The following is a 14,588-nucleotide window of genomic DNA, read 5'->3' as shown; positions in this document are numbered from 1 at the left end:
TTTAAGAAAATACTATAAACTGGGTGGCTTATGAACAACAGAAATTTATTTCTCACAGCTCTGGAGGTGAGAAGTCCAAGATCCAGGCAGATTGAGCATCTGGTGAGGTCCCTCTTCTGGGTTCATAGATGATACCTTCTTGCGATGTACTCACATAGCAGCAGGGAGACAGCAGCTCTCTGGGGCTTCTTTGATGAGGTCACTGTAGGAGTCTATTCTTACGTTGCTATAAAGACATATCTGACACTGGGTAATTTATGAAGAAAAGAGGTTTAATTGGTTTACGGTCCTGCAAGCTCTACAGGAAGCATGGCGCTAGCATCAGCAAGGCCTCTGGGGAGGCCTCAGGAAGCTTCCAATCGTGGCAGAAGGCAAAGTGGGGAGCAGGCTTCTCACATGGTGGGAGCAGGAGCAAGAGTTGGGGAGAGATGCCACACAATTTTAAATAACAGATCTCATGAGAACTCACTCACTGTGGTCAGAATAGCACCAAGCCATGAGGGATTGATCTGCCCCCATGATCGAAATACCTTCCACCAGGCCGTACCTTCAACATTGGGGATCACATTTTAACATGAGACTTGGGCGGGGACAGATACCCAAACTGTATCAGTTACTAATCCCATTCATGAGGGCTCTGCCCTCATGATCTAATCACCTTCCAAAGGAACCACTTCCTAATACCATCATGTTGGGAATTAGGTTTTCAATGTAGGAATTTTGGGGTAACACAGACATTCAGTCCATAGTAACCTACATTTGGTAACATAGATGAATTTTTTAAACAATGCAAATCTCTGTCTTTCCATCTATCCATCCATTCATTCATTTATGTACCATTTTTTTCTTGGCAGGATTTGGCTCATTTGTGGAAAAGACTGTGATGCCTTACATTAGCACAACACCAGCTAAGCTCAGGAACCCTTGCACAAGTGAACAGAACTGCACCAGCCCATTTAGCTACAAAAATGTGCTCAGTCTTACTAATAAAGGAGAAGTATTTAATGAACTTGTTGGAAAACAGCGCATATCTGGAAATTTGGATTCTCCAGAAGGTGGTTTCGATGCCATCATGCAAGTTGCAGTTTGTGGAGTAAGCGCATTCATTTCCTATCAGGGGATATTGTTTCTATTATGTGTGTGAATTTTAAGTGTGATTTTACTATGATAATAGAAAAATTGACCTTAATTTTCATAGATTTGATTATCTTAGAGAAGTAATTTTAAGTAAACCCTTAAATTGCCTGTATACATAAAGTGCCTTTATAAAAGCATATTTAATCTTTATGCAAACCACACAGTTAGTTTATTCATGCGGGCTTTTAAAAGACAGAATGCTAACCATTTGAAACAGCGGGGCAACCTCTCTGTACTGTAGCTGGTGGTCTGGATTTTAGAAAAGCCCATGTGTCCTAACTTTCTGGCTTTGTACTAGAGATAGAATTGATGTTATTATCTGAGGCATCACCAGGAACCTTGAAATTGCTCAAAGGGAGAGTGTCTTGTATCATTTTCCTTTGGTCAGTTTTCTTCTCACTGTCTTTGAAAGACACATCTTTCTCCTGTGTCTTAGTAATTCAAAAAGAGAGAACTTTTTAAGCTCTAGTTTTTAACCTATATGAATAGATGTATTTTGAGAAGTGATACAATATTTGTAATTTTAATTGTAAGATTTTCAGTAGCAAGCCCATCCCTATTGGTTCAATAATTTGTATTTTATGATCCATGTAGCAGCTATGTATTTTGAGATGACACTTTAATGATGTGGCTGAGGCTGAAACTAGAAGACATTGTCATGTCAAGTTTGTCCTGCGTACCTACTCTTGTCTCATTTTTGTTCCCTCCAGTGCCCCCATTCTCTAGATGACCTTCTTTGATTTTAGAGGCCTCTTAGTGGTTATTTTTCAGTCAATTTTTGCTAAGGTGCTAATTGATGCCCAAAATAATAAGTGAAGGAATATGGATAGTAATTAAGAATTTTTCTATCACCACTGATGCTGGGCAATTTACTCAGCCTCTCCAGGGCTGTTTTCTTCTCTTTAAGAAGGGATCATGATAGTATCTACCTCATAGGGCTCTTGTGAAGTTAAAATGCATCAATCTCTATAAAGTACCAATGAGCATTCAGCAAATACTAATTCCTATATTGTTATTACTTTCGACTTTTCACTAGAGTGTTTGCAATTTAAGGTTAGTCCCTGCTGTTATAGCCGAAGCAAGTAGCATTCCAGGTAGTACCTAGCCTTACACCTCTTTTCTTACTAGCCATTGATGTGTGAGCCTGTTAGCAGCTCGTTGTGGGGAGGGCATTCTCTGGGCTGCCTCTAACTAGGCCTTAACCTGTGGTATTAAACAAGCCATAACACCCTTGATTGTGGCTGTTTTTCTGTGTTGGTCATGCTGATCCACTCCTCTAGATGCAAAAGAATCAGACATTCCACTTTTGAAAGATTGCCAGTATTAATAAATGTGATTCCCACCTTAAAGTATTTTACTGTCTTATGAAGATCTAAACAGACGTATTAAATAAATTAACGAAAGCAGGTAAATTCCTATAGTCCTATGATTTTATAATTATAAATTACCATAGTGACAAGAAGATTTTACAGTTACTTTAGATTCTTTATTGGAAAGGGCAAGGATAAAGTAAATGAGTGCATAAACAGTACTGATTGAGGAGTTAGAATGGGTGAAATTATCCTTAAACAAGATACTTATTTCTGTTATAAAAAAAGGAAGCCTCATATGGTGGGCTGATAAAGAAGGTGCATGGCATAGAACATAGAGCAGAGATGGGTGGATGGGGACAAGACAGCAGCAGTGGGGTAAAGTAAGGATAGGCTCAGACACTTTCATTTATTCAGCAAATGCTCATCAAGGGCTTACTGCTTGCCAAGCAGTGTGCTGGCTTGCTAGCTGCTGGAGATATGATGATAAGCAGAACTAAACCAAACCAAACAAAACAAAAAAACAGTTTTTAAAAAGAACTGAGAGATTGAGAGATACGGATGGTCAGGCAAGATATCGTTGTACATGGGATGGAAGAGCTTCATTCAGTGGGCTTTGTGTGTTTCTCAGCAAGATAATTACCATTGTATAAAGAGAAGACACAGAAAATACAGAATTAGGTTAAAAATACAATGGTGGCCTATATGAAAATTAAAGGATTTTTGTTGAATTACTGTGAATAGTGTTTTAAAATTGAAATCCTTTTCTTTTCAAGTCACTGATTGGCTGGAGGAATGTTACACGGCTGCTGGTGTTTTCCACAGATGCCGGGTTTCACTTTGCTGGAGATGGGAAACTTGGTGGCATTGTTTTACCAAATGATGGACAATGTCACCTGGAAAATAATATGTACACAATGAGCCATTATTATGTAAGTGCCTGGTTCCTTACATAGTGAATGTGTTTATGTTGGATTTTAATGTTTAATACTAAGAGCTTGTGGGTGACTGGCTTGGGGTTTCTCAGGGTTTGAGGTTTTGCTGTTTTGGTAAGTAGGGGTCCTGATTGAAAGTGCAGGAAAGCTAGTGTTGCTGTTTGTGAAGATGCAGCTTTGTATTTGCTTCCTTCTGCTCAGACAAGGGCCTCACTGGGGTGGGAAAGGGATGCCCAGATGCCACTTTCACTCTTTGCCTCAACTCCCCGCCCACAGCATTTGGTAGCACAGTCAGTACTCTTTCTAAATAAATAATTTATCTAGTCTCATACTCTTTGTTTTATACGATTTTTAAAAGCAGTCACTCTGCCTTTATTGAAAATAAATATTGGCAAAGCATTCAAGTTCTAGAAGAAATCCAAATGGTAAATCTTGGTCTTTTTCTTAAGTTGTAGATAATAGAATATTTAATTACTGACTATTCTTTAATTTCATTGTCCTTATATTTAATATACATAGATAAACTTACTATTTAAAACCTTTTGAATATGGAATTTTTTATTCATACATGAAAGTAAAGAGAAGAGGATTAGCAATTCATGTATACACACGACTCACTTCAGCAGTTTATATTTGATACTGTTATTTGAAAGCAGTCTTGTAATCTAGTTATATGTATGCAACTAGATGTAATCTAGCTATATATGGATTATATATGTAATCTAGTTATCTAAAGCAGTCTTGTAATCGAGTTATGTGTAATCTTGCATGTATAACTAGATTGAAAAATTAGAAGAGATTATAAGGGTGTATTTAAATACTAAATTATATTACTTGATTTCTTAGGATTATCCTTCTATTGCTCACCTTGTCCAGAAACTGAGTGAAAATAATATTCAGACAATTTTTGCAGTTACTGAAGAATTTCAGCCTGTTTACAAGGTAAATGTGTGAGATAAAAAGAACAAGATTCTAAACATTTTTGATTGTTAGAGGCAAATCATGTCTGAATTGAAATGTGGGAAAATGCCACCAGATAGGCAAACCGAATTTTACAAAAGTGGTTTATATTAATTTTTAATCACATATTATAAAACTGGTTTCTAGGTTTGACTCCTAAAGTTAGTTAGGAGGAAACATGGGAACTGGCATTTAAAGATAAAAGTTGCTCAGTGGATCCTAATTGGTTGAATGAATAGCAGTTGTATTTTACGTGTTTTATCTTTTAATTGCAGGAGCTGAAAAACTTGATCCCTAAGTCAGCAGTAGGAACATTATCTGCAAATTCTAGCAATGTAATTCAGTTGATCATTGATGCATACAATGTGAGTACATCTTAAATAAGATCAGTTTTGGACAATACCCTGTTGAGAATACTTTGTACAAAGAAAGTAAAACTTCCTTCATACACACTTTAGCGAGCCCAAAGTACTACAGAAAAACTTAAATTCTGTATGTATCTAGAGGAAAAACTTTATACATATTGTCTTACAAAAGCAAGATTCATGGCCTAAACAAAGTGAAAATGTGATAAAGGCATGTGGGGAGTATTTCCAAATAACTGTTTGTTTATCATTAAGGAATAGATCTCCTTGTTAGAAAGCAATTGTAAAACATAACTTACATTTAAACTTACAGGATTTCTCCAATCTTTTTCCTCCCCAAAATATCCTTTATAGAGTCATCTATTCTGATGAATTGTGCTAGAAAAGTTTTTTTTTTTGCCAATTCTTCTCTTCCCATATATTCAGAGGATATGGGTTTCTATTTCAGGAGGTACACACTCATATATACGTATACCATAAAATATATAAAAATGTAAATATACATGTGATTTGCCTATTTCAAAAAGATTTATAGTGTTGTTTTCCCCTCACAGATGGGAGGAAGTTGAATTGAAATTAAAGAGGAATTGGCTTATCCTTTTTGAGCATAATTCAGTGTACTTTAATCACACCGAGTTAGCCTTCATTAATAATCATTTAAATAATCTGAAGGCGGTTGTAATTTGGTAGGTAACCCTTGTGTGTCTCGTGCACCACTTTCAGCCCCCATCCCCCTAACCCTTTGGCAGCTTGAATTTTAGACATTTTTACTTCATGTCATGGGGGTACCATAACGCTTTGGAAAGGCCAGCCTACCATATGAGGCTTCCCTTTTTTATGGGGTACCATAATGGTTTGGAAAGGCCTGACTTGGAGGGGTTTTTATAAAGGTTTTTAATATTTTACTTGTTCCACAGCTTTTCCCATTCTCCCCTGTCTTAGATAATTTTCCTAACTCTTGTTCTTTCAGGGGTGTGAACAAGAGATAGCTTGCCATTGTACCCTTCTCCATTTGTCCTGAATAGTCTCATATGTTAAACAAGCCCTGGCTTGAATCCTTCCTTCTTGGGGGATTTTGTTTTTTTTTTTTTTTGGCTGGGCTACAATGGTTCCTTAAGCAAATTTGTTCCTAGACTGCATAGTTGATTGTTTACCCTAGTCCATAGTTAGCTGGAGAGGTAGGACTACAGAAATGCCATTTTGCCGATGGGGAAGACAGCATTTATTTCGTTTTTTTTTGGGGGGTTTCTGTTTTTGTTTTTGTTTTTGTTTTTTAGATGGAGTCGCACTCTGTTGCTCAGGCTGGAGTGCAGTGGTGTGATCTTGGCTCACTGCAACCCCTGCCTCCCGGGTTCAGGCGATTCTTCTGTCTCAGCCTCCCGAGTAGCTGGGATTACAGGTGCACACTGCCATGCTTGGATAAATTTTTTTTTTTTTTTGTATTTTAGCGGAGATGGGGTTTCACTGTGTTGGCCAGGCTGGTCTCCAACTCCTGAGCTCAGGCAGTCCACCTACCTTGGCCTCCCAAAGTGCTGGGATTACAGGTGTGAGCTACCACACCCGGCCTATTCCACATTTTTAAGACTCCTCCTAATTAGTAACAGCCCTCTGCACTGTGTGATCCTGAGTATTTTAACTCAGTGATTAAAACAGGAATACTCTTTTCAATTGTGTATTTTATTTTAAAGATTTGATCCTTATTAATTAAAACCTGTTTCTCTGGCCTCTGTGTTTTCTAGTTACTCAATTGGATTTGGCTTGTAGATACTTTATTGAAATATATTTTTTTCTGAGCAGTTTATCCATTGGTTTTATGCATTCAAGTAGCATTTTGTTTGACTTTTCCTGTGTATAATTAGGCATTCTTTTAGTCCCTTTCCTCAGAAGTCATTTTGGAAAACGGCAAATTGTCAGAAGGCGTAACAATAAGTTACAAATCTTACTGCAAGAACGGGGTGAATGGAACAGGGGAAAATGGAAGAAAATGTTCCAATATTTCCATTGGAGATGAGGTATGTTGTATAAAGCATTTTCTGTAGAAAACATTGGTTATTTATAAGCAAATTTAGTTTATAGTTTGAGAAACATTAAAATAAGTGAGCAACTTTTTGAAATATTTTTTAGTAGATTTAAATTGTTTAGTTGGTTGTTAATCTTTTTTTTCCCTTCAAGGTTCAATTTGAAATTAGCATAACTTCAAATAAGTGTCCAAAAAAGGATTCTGACAGCTTTAAAATTAGGCCTCTGGGCTTTACGGAGGAAGTAGAGGTTATTCTTCAGTACATCTGTGAATGTGAATGCCAAAGCGAAGGCATCCCTGAAAGTCCCAAGTGTCATGAAGGAAATGGGACATTTGAGTGTGGCGCGTGCAGGTAAGCTGGGTGTTGTCAGACAGTGACAGAGCTACATTGGTTTAGAGAGTATAGGCAGGTCATATTTTGGGACATCCAGAGAATATCTCTCTATTTGGAGCAAATTATTTTTTCCAACCACGGTTGCTCACCACAAGATCAGTTTGATGATCTTGTGTGTGATATTTATAGAAAGTTCCTTCCTGCCTTTTTTTCTTAAAGTGATTACTCTTTAAAATAAAAGATTTTATAGCCATGAAAGAAGTATATTCAACAAATTGTTAAGGTAGCGTTTCTCTCATGTGAGAGCAATCAATTTTCTAGAACAAAATAAGCTTGTGTAAAATAACGTTTATAGGAAAATGTTTTGGAAAAACATCAAACCGATGATGGCGATTTCGTCTGGGAAATGGAATTATGAAGCAGTAGAAGATGTTTGTCTTGTACTACATGTACTTCTGCATTGTTGGAATAATTTTTAAAAAATAAATATGTGTTGTAAAATACAAAAGAGAAAATGGTATTTTCAGTATGTAGAATCTAGTACTAAGAAAACTAACAAAATTACTTCAGATTTTATTTTCACACTGTGGTTACTTTTTGTAATTGAAAATGAAAAACTGAGTATACATTGAATACCGCTTTCTCTGTAAAAGAATAGGAAGAGGGAAGAGTGTTTAATCCAGTGTCAGCCCCAAAAGACTAGGCTTAGAAGGCTATTGACTATGAAAGAAATATATGGCTTTAGCTCACTATCAATTTTTAATTGTCTGTGCTAAGTAACAATTTAAATGTTAGAGTTTCTTTATCTTCCATGTTGTACATATCCTGTTTTAATCATGCAGGTCCATTTTTAGTAAAATGTCATTTAACCAAAAAGATTATCTTGAAAATACTTTGCCTTTCTTTCCTTTATATTTTTACCAGATACAGAATCAGTGCAGTCAGTGTCCATGAGCATTATGTGTTCTAAAAATACACAGGGAACCTGAAAAGTCTGCACATGTAGGATATATTTATTTTTAAATAGTATACTAGTTATATTTTAAGTGGTATACACAGTATGTTTTTTTTCAACTTCCATACACTTTTTTGCATGTGTTTATTGTATTTTTTTAGGTTAACAGACCATTGCTTTAAATTTAGACAGTTCACCTGGAATAGTAAATGTAATAGCATACCATTTGAAAATGTAACTAACGTGCTCTTTAAAATTAAGTTTATTCTGCCTTTCCACATGTGTCATTCACTATTCATTGCTAGATTACATTTTTGTCTTGACCAAAATGGTTACTTTCCTGAAGAAATTTTTTTCCTAGACTCTTGCATATATTCCATATGAACTTGAGTGGCTGGAATGTACATGTGCGCCTGTGTATGTTTGTCCCTGCTTGCACATGTGTGTACACTTTACTACACGACTGTGACTTGTGGCATGGACACTCCCACCTAACAGATTAGGAGCTTGAAGAGATTTTTTATAGTTTTATTTTCTTTCCCAGTTTTTCCCTTTTAAATTATTATTATTATTATTCCCTCCAAGATGATTCTTCTTCTTTTTTATTATACTTTAATTTCTAGGGTACATGTGCAAAACGTGCAGGTTTGTTCCATATGTATACATGTGACATGTTGGTGTGCTGCACCCATTAACTCGTCATTTACATTAGGTATATCTCCTAATGCTATCCCTGCCCCCTACCCCCACCTTATGACAGGCCCCAGTGTGTGATGTTCCCCACCCTGTGTCCAAGTGTTCTCATTGTTCAGTTCCCACCTATGAGTGAGAAGGTGCAGTGTTTGGTTTTCTGTCCTTGCGATAGTTTTCTCAGAATGATGGTTTCCAGCTTCATCCATGTCCCTACAAAGGACGTGAACTCATCATTTTTTATGGCTGCATAGTATTCCATGTTGTATATGTGCCACATTTTCTTAATCCAGTCTATCATTGATGGACATTTGGGTTGGTTCCAAGTCTTTGCTATTGTGAATAGTGCCGCAGTAAACATACGTGTGCACGTGTCTTTATAGCAGCATGATTTATAATTCTTTGGGTATATACCCAGTAATGGGATGGCTGGGTCAAATGGTATTTCTAGTCCTAGATCCTTGAGGAATCGCTACACTGTCTTCCACAATGGTTGAACTAGTTTACAGTCCCACCAGCAGTGTAAAAGTGTACCTATTTCTCCACATCCTCTCCAGCACCTGTTGTTTTCCTGACTTTTTAATGATCGCCATTCTAACTGGTGTGAGATGGTATCTCATTGTGGTTTTGATTTGCATTTCTCTGATGGCCAGTGATGATGAGCATTTTTTCATGTGTCTGTTGGCTGCATAAATGTCTCCTTTTGAGAAGTGTCTGTTCATATCCTTCTCCCACTTTTTGGTGGGGTTGTTTGATTTTTTCTTGTAAATTTGTTGGAGTTCTTTGTAGATTCTGGATATTAGCCCTTTGTCAGATGGGTAGATTGTAAAAATTGTGTCCCATTCTGTAGGTTGCCTGTTCACTCTGATGGCAGTTTCTTTTGCTGTGCAGAAGCTCTTTAGTTTAATTAGATCCCATTTGTCAATTTTGGCTTTTGTTGCCATTGCTTTTGGTGTTTTAGTCATGAAGTCCTTGCCTATGCCTATGTCCTGAATGGTATTGCCTAGATTTTCTTCTGAGGTTTTTATGGTTTTAGGTCTGACATCTAAGTCTTTAATCCATCTTGAATTAATTTTTGTATAAGGTGTAAGGAAGGGATCCAGTTTCAGCTTTCTCCATATGGCTAGCCAGTTTTCCCAGCACCATTTATTAAATAGGGAATCCTTTCCCCATTTCTTGTTTTTGTCAGGTTTGTCAAAGATCAGATGGTTGTAGATGTGTGGTATTATTTCTGAGGGCTCTGTTCTGTTCCATAGGTCTATATCTCTGTTTTGGTACCAGTACCATGCTGTTTTGGTTACTGTAGCCTTGTAGTATAGTTTGAAGTCAGGTAGCGTGATGCCTCCAGCTTTGTTCTTTTGGCTTAGGATTGTCTTGGCAATGCAGGCTCTTTTTTGGTTCCATATGAACTTTAAAGTAGTTTTTTCCAATTCTATGAAGAAAGTCATTGGTAGCTTGATGGGGATGGCATTGAATCTCTAAATTACCTTGGGCAGTATGGCCATTTTCACGATATTGATTCTTCCTATCCATGAGCATGGAATGTTCTTCCATTTGTTTGAGTCCTCTTTTATTTCGTTGAGCAGTGGTTTGTAGTTCTTCTTGAAGAGGTCCTTCACATCCCTTGTAGGTTGTATTCCTAGGTATTTTATTCTCTTTGAAGCAGTTATGAATGGGAGTTCACCCATAATTTGGCTCTCTGTTTGTCTGTTATTGGTGTACAGGAATGCCTGTGATTTTTGCACATTGATTTTTGTATCCTGAGACTTTGCTGAAGTTGCTTATCAGCTTAAGGAGATTTTGGGCTGAGACGATGGGGTTTTCTAAATATACAATCATGTCATCTGCAAACAGGGACAATTTGATTTCCTCTTTTCCTAATTAACTGATGGGCTTCCCTTTGTGGGAATATTGTTATGTGTTATTTCTTTCTCCTGCCTGATTGCCCTGGCCAGAACTTCCAACACTGTGTTGAATAGGAGTGGTGAGAGAGGGCATCCCTGTCTTGTGCCAGTTTTCAAAGGGAATGCTTCCAGTTTTTGCCCATTCAGTATGATATTGGCTGTGGGTTGATCATAAATAGCTCTTATTATTTTGAGACACATCCCATCAATACCTAGTTTATTGAGAGTTTTTAGCATGAAGGGCTGTTGAATTTTGTCGAACACCTTTTCTGCATTTATTGAGATAATCATGTGTTTTTTGTCTTAGGTTCTGTTTATATGATGGATTACGTTTATTGATTGCCTGTGTTGAACCAGTCTTGCCCAGGGATGAAGCCAACTTGATTGTGGTGGATAAGCTTTTTGATGTGCTGCTGGATTTGGTTTGCCAGTATTTTACTGAGGATTTTTGCATCGATGTTCATCAGGGATATTGGTCTAAAATTCTCTTTCTTTGTTGTGTCTCTGCCAGGCTTTGGTATCAGGATGATGCTGGCCTCATAACGTGAGTTAGGGAGGATTCCCTCTTTTTCTATTGATTGGAATAGTTTCAGAAGGAATGGTACCAGCTTCTGTTTGTACCTCTGGTAGAATTCGGCTGTGAATCCGTCTGGTCTTGGACTTTTTTTGGTTGGTAGGCTATTAATTATTGCCTCCATTTGAGAGCCTGTTATTGGTCTATTCAGTGATTCAACTTCTTCCTGGTTTAGTCTTGGGAGGGTGTATTTGTCCAGGAATTTATCCATTTCTTCTAGATTTTCCAGTTAATTTGCATAGTGGTGTTTATAGTATTCTCTGATGGTAGTTTGTATTTCTGTTGGATCGGTGGTGATATCCCCTTTATCATTTTTTATTGCATCTATTTGATTCTTCTCTTTTCTTCTTTATTAGTCTTGCTAGCGGTCTGTCAATTTTGTTGATCATTTCAAAAAACCAGCTCCTGGATTCATTGATTTTTTGAAGGGCTTTTTATGTCTCTATCTCCTTCAGTTCTGCTCTGATCTTAGTTATTTCTTGCCTTCTGCTAGCTTTTGAATGTGTTTGCTCTTGCTTCTCTAGTTCTTTTAATTGTGATGTTAGGGTGTCCATTTTAGATCTTTCCTGCTTTCTCTTGTGGGCATTTAGTGCTATAAATTTCCCTCTACACACTGCTTTAAATGTGTCCCAGAGATTCTGGTATGTTGTGTCTTTGTTCTCACTGGTTTCAAAGAACATCTTTATTTCTGCCTTCATTTTGTTATGTATCCAGTAGTCATTCAGGAGCAGGTCATTTAGTTTCCATGCAGTTGAGCAGTTTTGAGTGAGTTTCTTAATCTTGAGTTCTAGCTTGATTGCACTGTGGTCTGAGAGACAGTTTGTTATAATTTCTGTTATTTTACATTTGCTGAGGAGTGCTTTGCTTCCAATTATGTAGTCAGTTTTGCAATAAGTGCGGTGTGGGGCTGAGAAGAATGTATATTCTGTTGTTTTGGGATGGAGAGTTCTGTAGATGTCTATTAGGTCCACTTGGTGCAGAGCTGAGTTCAGTTCCTGGATATCCTTGTTAACTTTCTGTCTCGTTGGTCTGTCTAATGTTGACAATGTGGTGTTAAAGTCTCCCATTATTATTGTGTGGGAGTCTAAGTCTCTTTCTAGGTCTCTCAGGACCTGCTTTATGAATCTGGGTGCTCCTGCATTGGGTGCATATATATTTAGGATAGTCAGCTCTTCCTGTTGAATTGATCCCTTTACCATTATGTAATGGCGTTCTTTGTCCCTTTTGATCTTTGTTGGTTTAAAGTCTGTTTTTTCAGAGACTAGGTTTGCAACCACTGCCTTTTTTTGTTTTCCATTTGCTTGGTAGATCTTCCTTCATCCCTTTATTTTGAGCCTGTGTTTGTCTCTGCACGTGAGATGGGTCTCCTGAATACAGCACACTGATGGGTCTTGACTCTTTATCCAATTTGCCAGTCTGTGTCTTTTAATTGGAGCATTTTGCCCATTTACATTTAAGGTTAATATTGTTATGTGTGAATTTGATCCTGTCATTATGATGTTAGCTGGTTATTTTGCTCATTAGCTGATGCAGTTTCTTCCTAGCATCGATGGTCTTTACAATTTGGCATGTTTTTGCAGTGGCTGGTACCAGTTGTTCCTTTCCATGTTTAGTGCTTCCTTCAGGAGCTCTTGTAAGGCAGGCCTGGTGGTGACACAATCTCTCAGCATTTGCTTGTCTGTAAAGGATTTTATTTCTCTTTCACTTAAAGCTTAGTTTGGCTTAATATGAAATTCTGGGTTGAAAATTCTTTTCTTTAAGAATGTTAAATATTGGCCCCCACTCTCTTCTGGCTTGTAGAGTTTCTGCCGAGAGATCTGCTGCTAGTCTGATGGGCTTCCCTTTGTGGGTAACCCAACCTTTCTCTCTGGCTGCCCTTAACATTTTTTCCTTCATTTCAACTTTGGTGAATCTGACAATCATGTGTCTTGGAGTTGCTCTTCTCAAGGAGTATCTTTGTGGCTTTCTCTGTATTTCCTGAATTTGAATGTTGGCCTGCCTTGCTAGGTTGGGGAAGTTCTCCTGGATAATATCCTGAAAAATGTTTTCCAACTTGGTTCCATTCTCCCTGTCACTTTCTGGTACACCAATCAGACATCGATTTGGTCTTTTCACATAGTCCCATATTTCTTGGAGGCTTTGTTCGTTTCTTTTTACTCTTTTTTTTCTCTAAACTTCTCACTTCATTTCATTCATTTGATCTTCAATCACTGATATCCTTTCTTCCACTGGATCGAATCGGCTACTGAAGCTTGTGCATGCATCACATGGTTCTCATGCCATGGTTTTCCGCTCCATCAGGTCATTTAAGGTCTTCTCTACGCTCTTTATTCTAATTAGCCATTCGTCTAGTCTTTTTTCAAGGTTTTTAGCTTCTTTGCGATGGGTTTGAATATCCTCCTTTAGCTCGGACAAGTTTGTTATTACCGATTATCTGAAGCCTTCTTCTCTCAACTTGTCAAAGTCATTCTCCGTCCGGCTTTGTTCCGTTGCTGGTGAGGAGGTGCATTTCTTTGGAGGAGAAGAGGTGCTCAAATTTTAGAATTTTCAGCTTTTCTGCTCTGGTTTCTCCCCATCTTTGTGGTTTTATCTACCTTTGGTCTTCCATGATGGTGATGTACAGATGGGGTTTTGGTGTGGATGTCCTTTCTGTTTGTTAGTTTTCCTTCTAACAGTCAGGACCCTCAGCTGCAGGTCTGTTGGGAGTTTGCTGGAGGTCCACTCCAGACCCTGTTTGCCTGAGTATCACCAGCGGAGGCTGCAGAACAGCAAATATTGCAGAATGGCAAATGTTGCTGCCTGATCCTTCCTCTGGAAGCTTCGTCTCAGAGGGGCACCGGGCTGTATGAGGTGTCAGTCAGCCCCTACTAGGAGGTGTCTCCCAGTTAGGCTACTCGGGCTCAGGGACCCACTTGAGGAGGCAGTCTGTCCATTCTCAGATGTCAGACTCCGTGCTGGGAGAACCACTACTCTCTTCAAAGCTGTCAGACACGGATGTTTAAGTCTGCAGAAGTTTCTGCTGGATTTTGTTCAGCTATGCCCTGCCCCCAGAGGTGTTGTCTACAGAGGCAGGCAGGCCTCCTTGAGCTGCAATGGGCTTCACCCAGTTTTAGCTTTTTTTTGCTTTGTTTACCTACTCAAGCCTCAGCAATGGGGGATACCCCTCCCTCGGCCTCCCTGCTGCCTTGCAGTTCAATCTCAGACTGCTGTGCTAGCAGTGAGCGAGGCTCCATGGGTGTGGGACCCTCTGAGCTGGGCATGGGACCCTCTGAGCCAGGCGCGGGATATAATCTTCTGGTGTTCCGTTTTCTAAGAGCATTGGAAAAGCGCAGTATTAGTGTGGGAGTGTCCTGATTTTCCAGGTACCGTCTGTCACAGCTTCCCTTGGCTAGGAAAGGGAATTC

The 14,588-nt window shown here is 38.4% G+C and overlaps 1 protein-coding gene across 3 annotated transcripts in view; it reads left to right on the top strand.

Moving 5' to 3' along the window:
• The window catches only part of ITGB1 (integrin subunit beta 1), a 57,913-nt gene that overhangs the window by 31,267 nt on the left and 12,058 nt on the right, over window positions 1–14,588 (top strand). For all 3 annotated transcript variants that reach the window (NM_002211.4, NM_133376.3, NM_033668.2), the window contains 6 exons: window positions 855–1,093; window positions 3,224–3,379; window positions 4,229–4,324; window positions 4,618–4,707; window positions 6,579–6,719; window positions 6,880–7,079. In NM_002211.4, the coding sequence (NP_002202.2) occupies window positions 855–1,093; window positions 3,224–3,379; window positions 4,229–4,324; window positions 4,618–4,707; window positions 6,579–6,719; window positions 6,880–7,079 (922 nt within the window). The remainder of the gene's footprint in view (window positions 1–854; window positions 1,094–3,223; window positions 3,380–4,228; window positions 4,325–4,617; window positions 4,708–6,578; window positions 6,720–6,879; window positions 7,080–14,588) is intronic.

This window comes from Homo sapiens, chromosome 10 (assembly GCF_000001405.40).
Source record: "Homo sapiens chromosome 10, GRCh38.p14 Primary Assembly".
Taxonomy (NCBI): Eukaryota; Metazoa; Chordata; class Mammalia; order Primates; family Hominidae; genus Homo; species Homo sapiens.
Note: the sequence above shows the minus strand (reverse complement) of the source record. Positions and strands in the feature narration are given on the sequence as shown.